The 17,829-nt window shown below is 43.1% G+C and overlaps 1 protein-coding gene across 4 annotated transcripts in view; it reads right to left on the bottom strand.

Moving 5' to 3' along the window:
* Positions 1–17,829, bottom strand: part of LMX1A (LIM homeobox transcription factor 1 alpha) — a 154,849-nt gene that overhangs the window by 56,925 nt on the left and 80,095 nt on the right. Inside the window, exon 1 of one of the 4 annotated variants that reach the window (XM_011509538.4) lies at positions 4,617–4,730. The exons of the other annotated variants lie outside the window; for them this stretch is intronic. Coding sequence (XP_011507840.1) covers positions 4,617–4,639 — 23 coding nt within the window. The 5' untranslated portion in view covers positions 4,640–4,730. Of the gene's footprint in view, positions 1–4,616; positions 4,731–17,829 lie in introns of those variants that run through there. 4 annotated transcript variants of the gene reach the window in all.

The following is a 17,829-nucleotide window of genomic DNA, read 5'->3' on the forward strand; positions in this document are numbered from 1 at the left end:
ATTCCAGAATCAGCAAGACACTGTGGGAAGAGGACAGCTTTTGACATCTGATTAAACCTGTATTCAAACCTTGGTTCTATCTTTAAGAACTTGAGCAAGTTACAAACTCTCTTGGAGCCTCGGCTTCTTTATCTCTAAAAATGAGATCATAACAACCTTATGAGATATTTTGGAGATTAAGTAAGTAGTGTATTTTAAGTATCTGACACATACTAGCTGCTCTCAATAAGTAGTAGCCATTAACTCCCTTTATTAAAATCAGTTTACCATATCTGCCCATGTAAATATTTATATAAGATAATTTATTTCAAGACAGCCAACTGAGCCAAAAATAGAACTTTATATGTATCTCAAGGTTCTGTCCCTCATTATTATAACAAATCAAATCAAACTTCAACCAGCCTTTCATATGTTACTGGAGAAGACACCAACAAACAACTGTGAAAGGCCAAACACTTGAGAGGAAACTGAGGGTACATCTCATTCAGGCAGCTATGGCTATGGTCTACCCTAACCCAAGGTCAATATTGACACTGGCCACGAGTGTTGACCCACACACAAATTCATTGCCTAACACCCAGCATATGTTCAGGAAGTTGTCAGCTCCATGTTTAGCCAACCAGAGCCAACAGTTGCTATTTGGTTAATGCTGACATTACCTTGCAAATATTTAAAACAGACCATTTCCCCACATCATTTTGGTTCTCATATGACTGCTTCTTACAGAGGCTGCTGACTATTGTGTGGACACGTATTGAGACATCCCTATCCTTGCCTTGCTTCCCTGGCTATCTGACCTCCTGTCCACCAAGAGAGCAGTCAACCTCTCTCCTCATATTACAAATGGAAAGAAACCAAGGCCGATAAAGGGGCAATAATCTACCTCAGACCACAAAGAAAGCTATGATTGCTGAGAGGATCAGACAGAGCCTGAGACTTAGTCAATGATCAAGAAACTAAAGAGATTATACCATGGCCCAATGAGAGATGAAAAGGTACTCCTCCAGGCTCTTAAGCAGTGTTCTGAACAACTAAATGAGTAGACAATGTCAGACAAGCTGAATGAGTGCACTGTGTGTGGGACAGTGAGTCTCTCCTACTTGGAAGCTTTCTTTTCCTCCCCCTCTTCTTTGTTGAAACCTGAAAAGTATCTATGAGTCAAGCCCTAGAGCAAAAGACTGTGGTGAAAGTGTGGATTTCAATAACTCAAGCCAAGGTGGCACAACTTATAGACTTTCCATATTGCCACACAGATATGCACAAATGGCAAGAAACATAAAACAGACATATGGAAAATATCCGTTTTCCTTTTAGGGAGTTAAGGTTTGGTTTCCTTTGAAAATGTCAGTTTTCCTTTCGCTTCATCCTCATTAGCCTCCTGGGACACTCTTAAACATACCCAGAAAACAACAGAGCAGAAGAAATGAGGTATTTTTAGCTGATATTCTGGGCACAGATTCCTATTGTTCCACAATTTTTGGCTTGGCTGGATGGCACGTGGCCAATACAATGTATACTCTTGCAAAGAATGTATATTTCCTGGTGTGTGTGTGTGTGTCTGTGTGTGTGTGCATGTGTGTGTGATAACAGGAAGGACAAGGGTATTATTGATGGTATTTTGATGGGGAAGATTCTGGGATCTCAGCAAGCCACACCAAACTCTCCATAAATCCTGTTTGCTTTGGTCAACATCACTTTTCACTTATTATTACCATTGTGCTATATGTCCAAAAAGAAACTTTTTTTAAAGCCATAGTGTCACAGCTGAAGAGCTCCTAGAATCAACTGTTTCCAGCAGCACTATATTAGGAACTAAATTTATTCTGAAAACCAATGATTACATTCCTAAATCATCTGGTGCACTGCCTAGCATATAACAATGCTCAAAACACTGACAGCTATGATGATCATCCTCCTCCTTAAACATGACTCCTGTTCTCAAGGGTCACCCAGTCTTGTAGGGGAGGCAAACAAGAAAAGAAAAGCATCCACTGACAATCTGAGTAAAAATCTCCCTGTGGCATAAAAACCACAGGGAGCTGCTATGGGGTTTTCCCTTTCTAACTGACGGGTGGAAAATATCTCTGGATTATTTAATTCCAGAATGCCTTTAGTTCAAGGATCTCAAAGCACATGCAATCTTGTGTAAACATCTTAGCTCTGAAATAATTGAGAAGGGGGTCAAATTCTGTGATCTTATTCAATTACATTCATTATACAGAGGGCAAAACTGGCATAACAGCAGAATGTGGCACATTATACACACTCCAAAATCCAGCAGTAATGGAGCCTGTGCACAGAAGCTCAGGGTCCTGAATCCCCAAAGCAGCCTCTTTATCACAGAACTATGTTGCCTTCCTTTCATGTTAGACTTCAGATGTCTCGAGAACCCCATAGAAGTTTCAATAAAGTCTGATCCGGTGGAAGTGACACCGTTCTTGTTTCTTGATTTTTAAAAATATTTATATCCTTCAATTTTTTAACACTTTTTATTCTTCAACTCTCTCCCCATCCTTCCATTTCAACTCTCCTTCCATCCACTAAAAACTGGAAGTCACCATACCCCTTACAATGGCTACTTTCAAAGAGATAAGAAAATAACAGGTGTTGGATGTAGAGAAATTGGAACTCTTGTGCATTGTTAGTGGGAATGTAAAATGGTGCAATGCTGTGGAATGCGGTACGGAGTTTCCTCAAAAAAATTAAAAATAGAATTACCATGTGATCTAGCAATCTACTTCTGCATATATAGCCAAAATGATTGAAAACAAGGACTCAAGGAGAGGTTTGTATGCCCAAGTTCATAGCAGCATTATGCACAGTAGCCAAGAGGTGAAAGCAGCTCAGGTGTCACTGACAGAGGAACAGATAAACAAAATGTGGTATATGCCTACAATGGAATATTATTCAGCCTTAAAAAGGAAGAAAATTCTAACATACACTACAACATAATGAGGACATTATGATAAGTGAAATAAGACAGTCACAAAAGACAAATACAGTATGATGGTACTTAGGAAGTTCCTAGAGTAGTCAAATTCAGTGAGATGAAAGTAGAACAGTTGCTTCCAGGAAAAGAAAATGAAGAGGTACTATTTAATGAGCATAGAGTTTTAGTTTGCAAGATAAAAAGACTTATGTGGATAGACAGTGGTGATAGTAGCACAACAGTATGAATGTACTTAATGCCACTGAACTGTACACTTAATAATGGTTGAGATGATAAATTTCATGTTAGGTGTATTTTACCATACTTTTTTAAAAATAAAAAATTATAATTTTTTTAAACTGGAAGACACAATCATCATTTATGCTCTACCTTCTATAACCAAAATATAGGTGATTATGTTCCCAAGTGAAACTCTCACCAGCCTCCCTTGCAGCTAGGGGTAGCCATGTGAGGTAGTACATGGATTCTATTGGTGAGGAAAGCGCTAGAAAAGCTACTGTTTTCTTAATAAAATGAGACAATCTCAGCTGGTGCATACATTTTGCTCTTTACCTTTTCTCTTTTTTTCTGCCTGGAATTAAAATGCAATACTTAGAGATAAAACAGCTATCTTGGAACTAAGAGAATGAAAGCTACCTGTTAAGAATGCAGAAAAAGAAGAAAGAAGCCTGAATTCTTGAAAACTTTCTTGAGCAGTTACACCTTCCTTGGACTTCCTACTTCTGGACTCCCTCTTCGTGAGAAAAATTAAAGCTCTCTATTAAAATTAGTCAAGACAGAATTATATGATGCCAAATGCAATCCTGCTCAAGTCTCTTCATATTGACTTGCCAAAGGGATACCCCTTCCCACTTGATTTCTTGAATGTCCTACACTCCTATCAAGGGCTAACTCTTCCACTTAGGTGCTAAACTTTGTCACTTCATGCTTACTCAAAAACTATATCATATATTCTCCCTCTTTGCAAATATGTTTTACAATATTTTTCTTGTTTCTCCCATTTTGGAAAAAAAAATACTCCTCTCTTGATTCCATTTCCTCTACCAGCTACCTTTTCATTTATCTGATGGCCTTTGTAGAAAAAAAAAAATTTTAATTACTTCTATTTACTATCTCCAGTTCCTTTCTTTTTAGACCAATCCAATCAGGTACTTATCCCACCTTTTCTAACAAAATTGTCGTGTGAAGGTCACTAATGACCTCCACAGTGTTTAGTCCTCATTGTACTAAGCCCATCAGCAGGCTTGGACATCATCAATCATTTGGCTTCCAGGACTGCTCACTCCTGATTTTCCTCCCACCTGGTCACTCCTGCTTTGTTCTTCCTTACCAATTTCTCCTCATCTCCCTGACCATGAAATGTTTAGTTCTCTTCTTTATCTATGCTCGCTCCCCTTAGGGATCTTATCCAGTCCCATTACTTTAAATATCATACATTTGCTAAATGATTTTGACATTTCTATCTCCACCCCAGCTTGCTCTTTTGAATCTAACTTGTATACCCAACTACCTACTCAACATCTTCACTTGGATTTCTAATCACAGTCTCAAACTTAACAAAACCAAAATAAAATTCCTGATCTTTTCCCACCCACCTCACTCTGGCTCCAATCTGCTCCAACCACAACCTCTCCATTTCCATTGATGGATGGCACCTATATCTTACCTGTTGCTCAAGACAAACATCATGGACTCACTTTTGACTTCTTTATCCTCCGCATCTCATATCCAATCTGCCAACAAGCAATTTCTGCTCCACCTTCAAAGAATAGCCAGGACAGTCATTTTGCATTATCTCACAGCTCCCACTATAGTCCTGCCTCCACCATATCTTCCCTGGGTTACCTCCACAACTTCCTCAATGGACCACTTGCTTCCTCTTGTCACCTGCTATGCTGATCTTGAGCACAACACTCAGGGTTATCCTACTACCTAAATCAGATCATGCCCCTCATCTGTGATTTAGCAATCTATTTCATTCCCATTTTCCAGACAAGAAAACAAAGACTTATGAAGGTTTAAGTAATTTGCTCAATTTTACACAGCTAGTATTTGGGGGTGCCAGGATTTAAATCAAGTCTGCCATTATATCACTGCCTAACTTAGCTTTGGGGTTGTCCTCATCAAATGGTAGGATGGTATTTTGCAAATTAAAAGCTCTGTGTGACTACAAGGTAATACTACCACCATTATCAACACAAGCTCCTGATATGGTAGTGCTGAATGAAGAAGGTTATCAATTATATTGAAATATTTTACCTAGAAAGGAAAGGCAAGAGTTTCCCTTCCAATACTTGAAAGAAAATCCAGAATGAGATCAACAATCCAGGATGAGTCTAACCCAGGAGAGCATCAATTAACTTTGTGACTTACGCTGAAACAAGCAAGGAGGGACTGGGTAAAAATAAAAAAAAACAGGAGGAATGGTGGAAGCCTGCACACAGCCCCCACCAGCACCCCAACCACAAAACTCATGTGCAAGTCTGCAATATAATTTTCATCTTGGATGCCTTTCATATGGCTCTGCTCCCCATACCCAGCTCCATTCAGAGGATTAAAGAAGAGGGACAGACATGAGTAGCTAAAGAACCACAAAAATCCCTGTGAAACAGGATTCTTGGTTTAAAATCACAGTGACTAGTTATGTGTACAGACATGCATAAAGCATGCATATGCTCGCACACACACACACACATACATGCTGCCTTAGACTAGAAATCCACACAGCATGCTACAGCCAGAAGTTTGGGGAGGAATTTTTTATAACAGCCCCTCCCAACCATGGAAATAAATAATGACAAGTTAGGGTGTCCTCAACCAGAAGAAGTCTTCAAGACAGCACGACCTTTGAGGGATGTCTGCATTTTGCTGCGGCAGTGCACTCTCAGATCTTATAAGGTGAAACTAAAGGGAATGTTGATATAGGAAAAGGAGGCCTAGTGCGGTGGCTCATGCCTATAATCCCAGCACTTTAGGAGGCAGAAGCAGGAGGAACGCTTTAGCCCAAGAGTTTGAGACCAGCCTGGGCAACTTGGGGAGACCCCGTCTCAATAAAAAAATTTAAAAATTAGGGGAGGATTACTTGAGCCCAGGAGGTCGAGGCTGCAGTGAGCCATGTTTAAGCCACTCTACTCCAGCTTGGGAGACAGAACAATACCCTGCCTCGAAATAAAAAAGGAAGGCCGGGCGCGGTGGCTCACACCTGTAATCCCAGCACTTTGGGAGGCCGAGGCAGGCAGATCACGAGGCCAGGAGATCAAGACCATCCTGGCTAATACGGTGAAACCCTGTCTCTACTAAAAATGCAAAAAAATTAGCCGGGCATGGTGGCGGGCACCTGTAGTTCCGGCTACTCAGGAGGCTGAGGCAGGAGAATGGCGGGAACCCAGGAGGTGGAGCTTGCAGTGAGCCGAGATCGTGCCATTGCACTCCAGCCTGGGCGACAGTGAGCGACTCTGTCTCAAAAAAAAAAAAAAAGAAAAAATGGAAAAGGAGCCCCAGGGGTCCACCCCTTCCCTGCTTGGACCTTCAGGTTCCAAGTTACAATTGCAAAAATAGGAAGTTGCAGACCTGTTCTTCCAAGTCAAAAGATAAGGCCAGAGGCTTCTCTTGCTGGTTCCAAGAGAAACACCTGCCTCTATCATTCAGTGACTGGCAGATTACCTAGAGCCAGGCACAAGGGCAGGGAGACTTTTGCCTTTTGGCAAAGGAAGAGGCAGAGGAGCTCTTGTGGAGTTCCCTTTCAAAAGGCTTGTAGATACTGCCCCAGACATCCAGGAAGAAGAGACTTCTCTGGCACTCAAAAGCGAGTGCCTCCCTGAGCCCTGCACGTCTTTCCACTGTGAACAGGGAGCCATACACACTGGCATCAACCTCCATTGCACTGTACCAATGAGAGCTACCCTGGAAGAGAACCTAGTCATTGCTATTGTCATTGAAATGTAGTGCTATTTAGACTTCAGTCATGGGCTGAATTCCTCCAAGAACAGGTCAGTACCTTAACTCCATGAAGAAAAATATTTCTTTCCCAAACTGCATGAGATGGGCAGAGGAAAAGGGGTAGACAAAACCCACAACACAGCTTCACCAACGAGAAAACAACTTAAAGTTCATGACCAACTAATTTATAGGCACAACTGGGAGAAATATGACTTTCATAGCACCTCCCGCAAAGACACACAAGGATCCTTATAATTAGTAAATAGTGAAAAAGGTAATCAGGGAACCTAAATGATTGGTTATTTAAGGGAGGGGTTTTATTCATATATACAACAAATATTTATTGGGTGCCTATGATTCTAGCTGCTAATATTGAGGTACTACTGCAGGTTCTAGGAATATAACAGTAAACACACTAGGGGAAAATCCTTGACCTTGGAGTTTACATTTGATAGAAAACAAATTGGTACCAACTAAATGTCAGATGAGTGCAATGGATGAAAATGAAGGAGTAAAGGAGGATGAGAAGTGCCAGGTCTGGAGGAGTTACAATTTTCCCTGGATAACTGACGTTAGAGCAAACATCTGAAGGAGCTGATAAGGAATGAGCCTTACCAATATCTGTGGGAAGAACATTCTAGGCAGAGAAAATAGCAGGAGCAGAAGCCCTGAGGTAGAAGTAGGACCAGCACTTTGGACAAATAGTAGAGTCCAGTGTGGCTGGGGCAAAGATGGGGCAAAAGAAAGAGAGGTAAGAGCTGAGATTAGAGAATTTACAAGGGAAAGGCTAGATAGGTCAGAGAGGCCTTGTAAATCACAGGGAGGAGTTCAACTTTTCCTCTGGAAACCAGGGGAGGGCATTTTGCAAAGAAGCAACATGCTGGATGAACTAATTTTCTTTCTCTTCTTTCTTTCTTTTTTTTTTTTTTTTTTTTTTTTGAGACAGGGTCTCGCTCTCTCGCCCAGGTTGGAGTGCAGTGGCGCGATCTTGGCTCACTGCCAGCTCCGCCTCCCGGGTTCACGCCATTCTCCTGCCTCAGCCTCCTGAGTAGCTGGGACTACAGGTACCCGCCACCACGCCCAGCTAATTTTTTGTATTTTTAATAGAGGCAGGGTTTCACCGCGTTAGCCAGGGTGGTCTCGATCTCCTGACCTCATGATCCGCCTGCCTCAGCCTCCCAAAGTGCTGGGATTACAGGCGTGAGCCACTGTGCCCGGCTTGCTTGCTTGCTTGCTTGCTTGCTTTCTCTCTCTCTCTCTTTCTTTCTCTCTCTTTTTCTCTCTCTCTCTTTCTTTCTCTTTTCCTTCCTTCCTTCTTTCCTTTATTTATTGAGGAGAAATTCATAGATTTCAAAGGGAACAATTCTATGATATTCAGTACATTCACAATGTAGTACAACTACCACCTCTATCTAGTTCCAAAACATTTCCATCATTTCCAAATAAAACCCTTTTCCCATTAGGCAGTTTCCCACCATTTTCCCTGTCATCAAATGTGGGCCACCACCAATCTGAGTTCTGTCTCTACTGATATACCTGATCTGGATATTTTATATACATATAATCATATAATATGTGGCCCTTTGTGTCTATCTTCTTTCACTTAGCACAATGTTTTCTAGGTTCATTGCATTCAGTAGCATATATCGAGGTACATGTGTTCAGTAGCATGTGTCAATACTCCATTTTTTTATGGCTAAATAATATTCCATTGTATGATAGACCACATTTTGTTTATCCAATCATCCATTCATGCACATTTGTGCTGTTTCCACCTTTTGTCATGAATAGTGCTGCTATGAACATGTGTGCATATGTAGTTATCTGAATGCCTGTTTTCAATTCTTTCATCCTATACCTAGGATGAAGTTTTAATGGAATCACTATCACTGCTGTGTTGAGAGATACTTGTGGGGAGGATAAGAACAGAAGGAAGAAAGCCAGTGAGAAGGCTATTGAAATACCCCAGGTAAGAGATGACAGAGACTGAGAGGAAGAAACCAGGAAGAAAACAGGAAAGTGAAGTGGAAACCAACTCAAGTGAATATTTCAAGGGAACGGGAGTAATGAAACCCACCGAAGGTTACTGACAGATCAAGTGAGATGATGACTGAGCACTGGCAGTGGAATTCAGTACTGGGGAGGTCAGTGAGGAAGACATGTCTAGGGAGAAAGCCTCAGTGGAATGAGAGGACATGGTGACCCAGAGTAAACATCTCTTTCAAAGAGTTTTACTAAAGAACACAGAGAAATTGAGTGACAGACAGAGGGGGATCTAGGGTCAAAAGATTGTTTTTAATGAGAGTAATTACAGAATGTTTGCTGATAAGAATAATTTTGTACTAGAGAAATCTTCAGGATGTAGGAGGGAAGTTGGGGAGGAGTACTGGAGTGACATTCCACAAGTAAATGAGAGGGAGATCAGAGGGGAACTAGGGCACTTGTGGAGTGAGTGTCAGCCTTAACTTAGAGCAAGTAAAGACTCCTAGATGCTCTAGGCAGAATTCTCAGAAACTCATATTGGAAAGAGCCTAAAGTCTGGACCACTCTGGATTATTTGATCTAATAATGAGGGAAGCCAAGTCTAAGCCAAAATATTGCATAAACCAAAGCATTCATATTTGACTGTGTAATATAATTTTGCTATGCCACATATTTACTCTTCTCTTGATGTTTTGGGGCCAGTGTTAAGGCCAAGATCATGAATGGTGAAGCAGATGGCTCAGGAGTGAGCACACTGACTGGATAAACTAAGCCCTGCGCCTCAAACCACATGCATAACGTTGAGGCCTTAGGAATGGCATTGAGAGATGTTGTTACCAAGATCACTAGTAAATATTCCCACATCTAATGCCAATATGTACACATAGTAAGTAAGGTGGAGGTATGTTTAAAATACCTTTTTCTAGTATTTAAGGGCAGCTATGATATAGCAGAAAGAGCACTGAAAGGTCTGGATTCGAGGCCCCACTCTACCACTTATTAGCTGTGTGACCTTAGTCAAGGTAATTAACCTCTCTGAGCCTGAATTTCTTCAACTGTAAAATGGGCTTAGTGACACCCATGCACCAGTCATCAGCAGCAAATAAGGAGATATTTCTAAAAGCAGTTTGTAAAATAGTACACAGTTATCCAGATAGTCAGGCTTTAGCTGTCTACATGTGCTTCACATTGTTATGAAAATTGTTGTAAGCCATTGCAAAGACCATATGACAGGCAACATAAAAATCCTCAAAAGCAGAGCTATACTTTCTATACACTGGAACCAAAGCCAAGGAATAGGACAGAGAGAAATCTCCAATAGTATGTGGCCTCTTCTAGAGTCTAGACTCATTACCTCATCCCTGGCTAAGCCTCCAAAGGCTCACCAAGAGCTACCCAGAGATGGATTTCCTGTTTCACCACTTACTCCCATCACCTCACCAAGAACATTTCAGTCCCTTGGAGGCTCTGGGACAAAAGAGGGTGAGATAACGAGCTTAGACTCTCAATTTGGAGACTACCTCCAGAGGGTGTTATCTCTCCCAGTGCAGAGAGCAGGGCTGCTTAGAATATCCTGCCGAGAATCAGCTTCCCTAAGGTTTGTTTGCGCAGAGCCTGCATTTCCATCCTCATAATAGACATTGCGGATAAGAGTTCAGCAAACTAATAGAATAAATGCAGGAACTGCCCCTGCACCAAAAGATACCAGAATTTCAACCACACTAGACATCTCCCCTGGTGACCCTTTAGATCAACCCTCTCCAGTAGAACTTCCTGTGATGATGAAAATGTCTTAGCTCAACCATTGTGGAAGACAGTGTGGCAATTCCTCAAAGACTTAGAACCAGAAATACCATTTGACCCAGCAATCCCATTACTGGGTATATACACAAAGGAATATAAATCATTCTATTATAAAGATACATGCATGCCTATGTTCATTGCAGAACTATTCACAATAGCAAAGACATGGAATCAACCCAATGCCCATCAATGGTAGATTGGATTAAAAAACTGTGGTACATATACACCATGGAATACAATGCAGCCATAAAAAGGAATGAGATCACGTCCTTTGCAGGGACACGGATGAAGCTGGAAGCCATTATTCTCAGCAAACTGTTGCAGGAACAGAAAACCAAGCACCGCATGTTCTCACTTATAAGTGGGAGCCAAACAAGGAGAACACATGGACACAGGGAGGGGAACAACACTTACTGGGGCCTGTGCGGGGAGAGTTGGTGAGGGAGAGCATTAGGGAAAAGAGCTAATGAATGCTGGGCTTAATACCTGGGTGATAGGTTGATAGGTGCAGCAAACCACCATGGCACACGTTTACTTATGTAACAAACCTGCAAATCCTGCACATGCACCCCAAAACTTAAAAAAAATATATTAAAAAAAAGAAAGAAAATGTCCTCTATCTGTGCTGTCCAACATGGTAGCCATGAGCCAAGTTTATATGCTCCTGGAGAAAAAGTACTGAGATGCCTTAAAGTAAGGCAAAAGTGGGAAAGTGAAGACTTTGGTGCATTCTTATAGACAGTCTTATCCTGCCCCCAGCTACCTGGCATGGCTCTGTCCTCTCCACCAATCTAAATCCTTCCCAGCCCTCAAGAGTCAGCTCAAGACTCATACCCCCCATAAAATCATCTATGCCTGTCCAATTCTGTGTCTCATGTGGGTACACTGAAAACAAGGGCTAGAGAAATTTGGAGACTCAGGAAACTCCTGTGGGGGCAAGCAAGGAAGTATTCTCCAGGGAAATGATAACTTAAATGGGAGCCTTAAACATTAAGAATCTGAGCAGGCCAAGTTATATGTTCAGACAAGCCAAGTGGAGACCCTAGAATGAGCAAGGGTGTAGAGGCCAAAAGCCACTCAAGGTGTGTCAAACAGTTAGAAAATGAACCAGGTTTACTGATACCTCTTTGGCAGAGGGGAGTATCAGGATGTTTTAGAAAATTCTTATTTCCTGCCAGATCTGAGGTTGGTTTGAGTGGGATGGAAGAGGGCCTTGAGTGCTGACTTCAGTCTCTATTTTATAGGAAATGGGGAGTCTTAACACATTTTTGAGCATAGGGATAACTTGAACAAAGAACACTGTGGGAAGAATATTCTGTTAGGACCAGCACACAGGACAGATGGGAAAGAATCCTGGAAAAGTAGGGACCACTGGGATCCCGTATCCCAATGCCTTTCATTTCTCAGGAATGACTTCTCCTTTTCTGATGGTTTCAAACAACCCAGTGACAATTTCCTCTTCCAACAGTGGAGCCTCACCACAACAGATAACTGCTGGCTACCTTCCCAACAGCCAGCCATTTCCCTCCCAATCACCATTTTCTAGCCTGCAAAGAGAACCCTGATTTTATTAGGTAGCAATATTTCCCACCCAGGGATGAGTCCTCATTTATCCTAGCTAGGCCAACCCATCTCTTTCCCCTTTACCAAGGCTAGCCTTGGGGAAGACATGTGGTCCTGTTATGGCCAAAGAGAAATAAGGGCAAATCTGCTAAGAAAGAATTTTTTTGCTCTGTGAGTAAGAAGTAAACAATGAAGAACCCCCTGGTCCCAGCTCTTTCCTTCATACTTTGGACCCTGTCCTGTGAGGATGAGAAGCCATCATGCAGGTATTAGGTAGCAAGCTGGACAATGATACCAACATCCCAAAGATAGAGAGAGGCTGGATCCCTGATGACATTATTGAACTGCCAAACCAACACAGTATCACATACCTCCAGACTTCAGGTTTAGTAAAAATAGTTCTCCTATTGGTTTAAGCCTCTGTTCATTTAGTTTTGTGTTTGTTGCAGCCCAAAACCTACTAAACTCATATAGTTCACCTGGGATCTGGCCACAGAGCTGATCTGTGATTCCTATTCCTATAGCTAATCGAAGTACATGGATCCTGCAGGACATCCCTGCAATTGAGGGTGCAGTGGACCAAGAGCACAGGTCTTGGGCAGTGGCCAAGACCGAGAAGCAACAGTCACCAAGGCTAGAGGATGCTGATCCCCATCATAAAAGGAAGAGAGCCACACTCTTCCCTTGCTGCTGGGCAGGTAGAAATACCTGGCAGGAGGAGGATGTGCCAAGCCAGAGGAAGCCAGAAGAGCTGACTCTTGAGGGCTGGGAAGGATTTAGGTTGGTGGACAGGACAGAGCCATGCCAGGTAGCTGGGGGCAGAATAAGACTGTCTATAAGAATGCACCAAAGTCTTCACTTTCCCACTTTTGCCTTACTTTAAGGCATCTCAGTACTTTTTCTCCAGGAGCATATAAACTTGGCTCATGGCTACCATGTTGGACAGCACAGATAGAGGACATTTTCTTTCTTTTTTTTAATATATATTTTTTTAAGTTTCGGGGTACATGTGCAGGATGTGCAGGTTTGTTACATAAGTAAACGTGTGCCATGGTGGTTTGCTGCACCTATCAACCAGAGGAAGGGCTCAGGGCCCCAGCTAATTCATCTAGGACCACACTGCCCACCAAGGGGCTTGGTCCTCCAAACTGAGAAGAAAGATCCCTCCCACCAGCCAGGCCCAGGGCTTGACAAGCTGGATGCATTCCCTGCCAAATCCTCACTGCCTATCATACTTTACGAACACAAAAACAAATTCCACCATATGTTAAAGTTAATTGCAAACATTTGCTGCTGAAGAGAGCTCCATTTCTTAAGAGCCCACAGAGATCTGGTTACACTGGTGGCTGAAGCATCAACCACCCTCATTCACTCATTGAAAGCAGGGCAAAGTAAGGGTGGCAACCAAGTGGTGGAAGAGACCCTCATTGCTTCCTTCCCTGCCTCTTCCCCCTCAGTCTGTTTCCACCTCCACTGGGTCCAAACAAGTGCACATTCCAGGCCAGAGAGTGTGCACCCCTCTATCAACACAGAACAATGACCATAGTGGCGATTTGGGAGGACCAGGGCTGTGGGGGCAGGGAGAGATGATGTCAGGAAAGCATGGAAGGAAGAGGATGAACTGAAGTCAGCTGGCTGTGTTTCATTGCCTGGCGAGTGCTGAAATAGGAGCCACAGAGAAACCCAGCAGCTCCAGAGTACCCAGAGCAGTCAGGGTGGTTTGCTAGGGGTCTGCATAATGTCTATGAGCGATAGTTATTGATGGTGTGGTTTAGTGGGGGTAAACCTGTGGCTAACAAGGCCCTCAGCCTAGAATGCAGCCTGGAGAAGTCCCCAGACAACATAGATAGCTGGGAGGAAGTAAGGACTTAGATCTCCATGAACATTCTTCCACGGACCACAGAGGCATTAATAAGCACATCCCTGGCAGCATGAAAGGGAAGTAGGAGGCTGTGCATTGCCTCCACATTCCCATCTGTCCCAGAAGAAGCATTCATGGTTTGAATTTGCACCAACCCAGCTGGAGACATGAACGGGGAGGAGCTCTAAGTGCTCTCCTGGCTCAGGCAAGAGCACTACTGAGGATGTCTCCAGAGCAATTCCTTGAACTGCTCTTTGGGCAAGGGCAGATGTGTTGTGTCTGGCTGACAGAGAACTCTTTCTGAGCAACCACTTGGAGAAGGAATATCTGATGCCAGCATAGTCAGTGAATGACCTGTCATGACTTGGAACTCATACCCCAAGCCCTTCCAAGAAGTGACTAGCATGTGTGGTCTGCAGAAGGGGGCTCACTTGGCCATCTTCTCAAGCAACCCAATATCCCTCAGTAGGCACCTCCTAACAGCAAGTCCCAAGACACACAATCTGCATCCATACAAAGCCCATTCACACAGCCAATTCACACAGGCAACTCAAAGGAGAAAACAATCTGTCAAGAAAGTCAGGTGAACCAACTAGGAACCTCTTGGAGCTTGTCAATTGAGACCTCACCTTCCCATCTGGGATCCTGTATATTGACCACTTAAATATTATTTCGTCTCCTTAGATATGACTCTTTCCCTCCACCCTCCACCAAACACATTTCAGCACTTCATTATATACTATCTTATTTGTAATAAACAAGTATTTATGAAGCGTCCACTGTATCAAGTTCCCCCATGCTATGTGTATCACAAAAACATATATTGTCCTTACCAAGATAAGTCTAATATCTAGTTGGAGGTGCAAAGCATTTACATGAAAAAAACTAAGTGACAATACAAAATTTAGGTGAGAGTTCAAGATGACGGTGCAAGAGGACATTTAATGAAGGCCAACTACAAATGAGGCGCCCTTGGGAGGGCATAGAGGACCATGAGGAGCTGCCACAAGTAGTGCCCAGTGGAGACAAGAGATGTGGCCATCATCGTGCTCACCAACCCTTACATACCCAAGACGTTCCTCAAGCTGCTAGACTACATCATTCATTCCTCACAGCCACCCTTTGAGTCAAACATAATTGTCATCCCCACTTTACAGATTAGGAAATTGGGTATGCAGAGGTTAAGTGACCATATAATCTCATCCTAGCTTGACTGTAATGCATCTGTCCTGGGTCCTGGACAGTGCACACCTGCCTGGGTTTCTGGAATGACTTTTTCTCTCTTTTCTACCTTTCAGGTCCAACTATGGCCTTCCTTGGCCACCCCCATCCATTGCCAATACCTCTACACACGTATGTATTTGCACTTTAATCTTTGTGTTCAAGGAATATTTTACACATCTACCCTGGTTTATGTTATAATATTTATAAATATTGGTTTATATTTGCCACCCTCACTACTTTGTGTCTCTAGAGGAACCCATTCATTTTTGCACCCTCAGAACATAGTATACTACTTAGCATACAGTAGGTACTTAATAAATGTTGGTCAGATTGATTTAGATTGGATTGAATTGAACTAATTTGGGGTTTCGGTTTTGGGGCATAGAAGCAAGGACTTATTGCTGATTCTGAGAGCTAAGGAATGGCCAAACAGCCCTTAGCTAATCCACCTTCCCAGCACTGGCCTCCAGGAGTGAGTATTTACTGCAGAAATCAGAAGTGGCAGTGGGACTGATGGATGGCCACCACCCTCATAAAGAGCTGTGGGATGCAGTCTCCAGCCTCAGCCTCAGGGCTGCTATGTCCCTTGAAACTTTATGGCATCGTTGCCATGGCGGTCACGGATGTAACGTGCCATGAAGGTAAAACGTGAAATTCCCCTAGAGGTGAAACACTGGTGGGAACCCATTCACAGGCAACCCTGAGCTACTTAACCTCTCTGAGCCTCACTCAGTTTCCCCATCTGTAAAATGGAAATAATAACACTTACCTCATAAGGTAGTTGAGAGGATTAAATACAATAAGGCCCAGTGACTGACACATAGTAGGTGCTCAATAATTGGTAGTAATTCCCATTTTCTTACCTGTTTGAGGGAATATGAGTTCTAGCATGATTTCATTTTGCCAGAGTGAATTTTTTTGGTCTTATTTTAATTTTTAATTTAAATATAGGATTCATAGGTTCATAGGAGCTCTGGAGTTAATGATGAAAGGAACCCTATGGTTTCCAATAAATGAGGCTTCCCATTGATCAAACACAGCCAGACTGACATCTGAAATTGCCCCTGAAGTGCACAGAACTCAACTCTTCCCAATTTCACAGCACCCGACAGCCCCGAGTCCTAGGCTGGAGCCTCTATCAGGCAAGCAATTTGCTTCTGGGTCCCTCGAGTCACTTGTTTGACTTTGCTGATTAATACATTAATGGCAGTTATTCATTAGCAACTGTGAACAACACTCCCCAATAAGCAGCAGTCTGGGCTTTGTTGGAGAGCCCACTGCAACTGCTCGTTAGCATTTGTGGGAAACATCCCAGTAAAAATACCAAAGGCTATCACGCTAAATCCGACTGGGGTGACAGAGGTTTACATACTTCCACGTAACTTCTAGTCATCTCCCAATATTCATAGACCCTTCCTTCCCATATATCCCTACTGGGTTCCCCTCAATTACACTCTGTTGCCCCCCATCATATCCAGTTCCTTGGCAAAGCCCCCTTCCTTATTTCTATAGCAAATCAATTCATCAAACAAGAAGTAATCCTTCTCCAGGGAAGAAGAGCTGCTGAATCACTCTTGGGACTGGAAGGGGGCTGGTGGAGGGGACGAGGCAGATGCAAGGGGAGAAAAAAGTATAGGGATGAAAATGTGCAGCACACAGGAACGACAACTGGGAGGACTGTGCTCTCATGCCTCTGGTTTCTAGAGCTTTTATGGCGCTGGGGTGTGTGTGTATGTGTGTGTGTGTGTGTGTGTGTGTGTGTGTGTGTGTGTTTGTCTTCCTCCCTGTGAGTTTGAACACCAGCCAACTCAGAGAATGAGAGCAGACTGGGGCTAGGCAAGGAGATGGCCACAACTGTGTTTGGGAATGTCGCTGAGTTTTCACAAAGGGAAGCTGGAGTGTGAGTGATGGGATGCACACACCCCACCCGAGAGGCTGGCAGGAAGAAGAGGGGGAGGGGCCAAGATGTAAAGAAGAAAGGAAAAATCAAGTGTGCCCCTTCAGAGTGCATCATCCCTGGCTACAATCCTGAGAATACATTTTCTGATTCTTCTTGCCAAACTTCAACTCCTGGATCACCGCATATTTTGGCAAAGCTTCTCTACCTTTTCCTGCTCATTGACCAATCAATTGATTGATAGAGAGGTCTTGAATGCTGAGACAAGCTCCTCCTTGTCTGATACTGAGAGCCTGCTGGGATTTTAAAAACAGACCCCTGAGGATGAAGAGTTCTTTAAACATAAAATGATTCCAGCTGAGGCAGCCGCCTCTCCACCCTCACCCTTCCTATCTTTGGTAAAGCTCAGGCAGAAACATGTAGCTGTAAGTCCCAGAAAGAATCTGCACATGCAACTCTGATGATTGATAGCAATTCTCATTTCCAGCCTCAGGAGAATGAACAGCCAGTGGCCCTACAACCATATGCTCCAAACCAGGGTGAACACAATGCTCAAAGATTGAGATTATAATCACCCTGTCCTGACTGGGCCACTAAAGTCACGTTAGA

Source organism: Homo sapiens, chromosome 1, assembly GCF_000001405.40.
Source record: "Homo sapiens chromosome 1, GRCh38.p14 Primary Assembly".
Taxonomy (NCBI): Eukaryota; Metazoa; Chordata; class Mammalia; order Primates; family Hominidae; genus Homo; species Homo sapiens.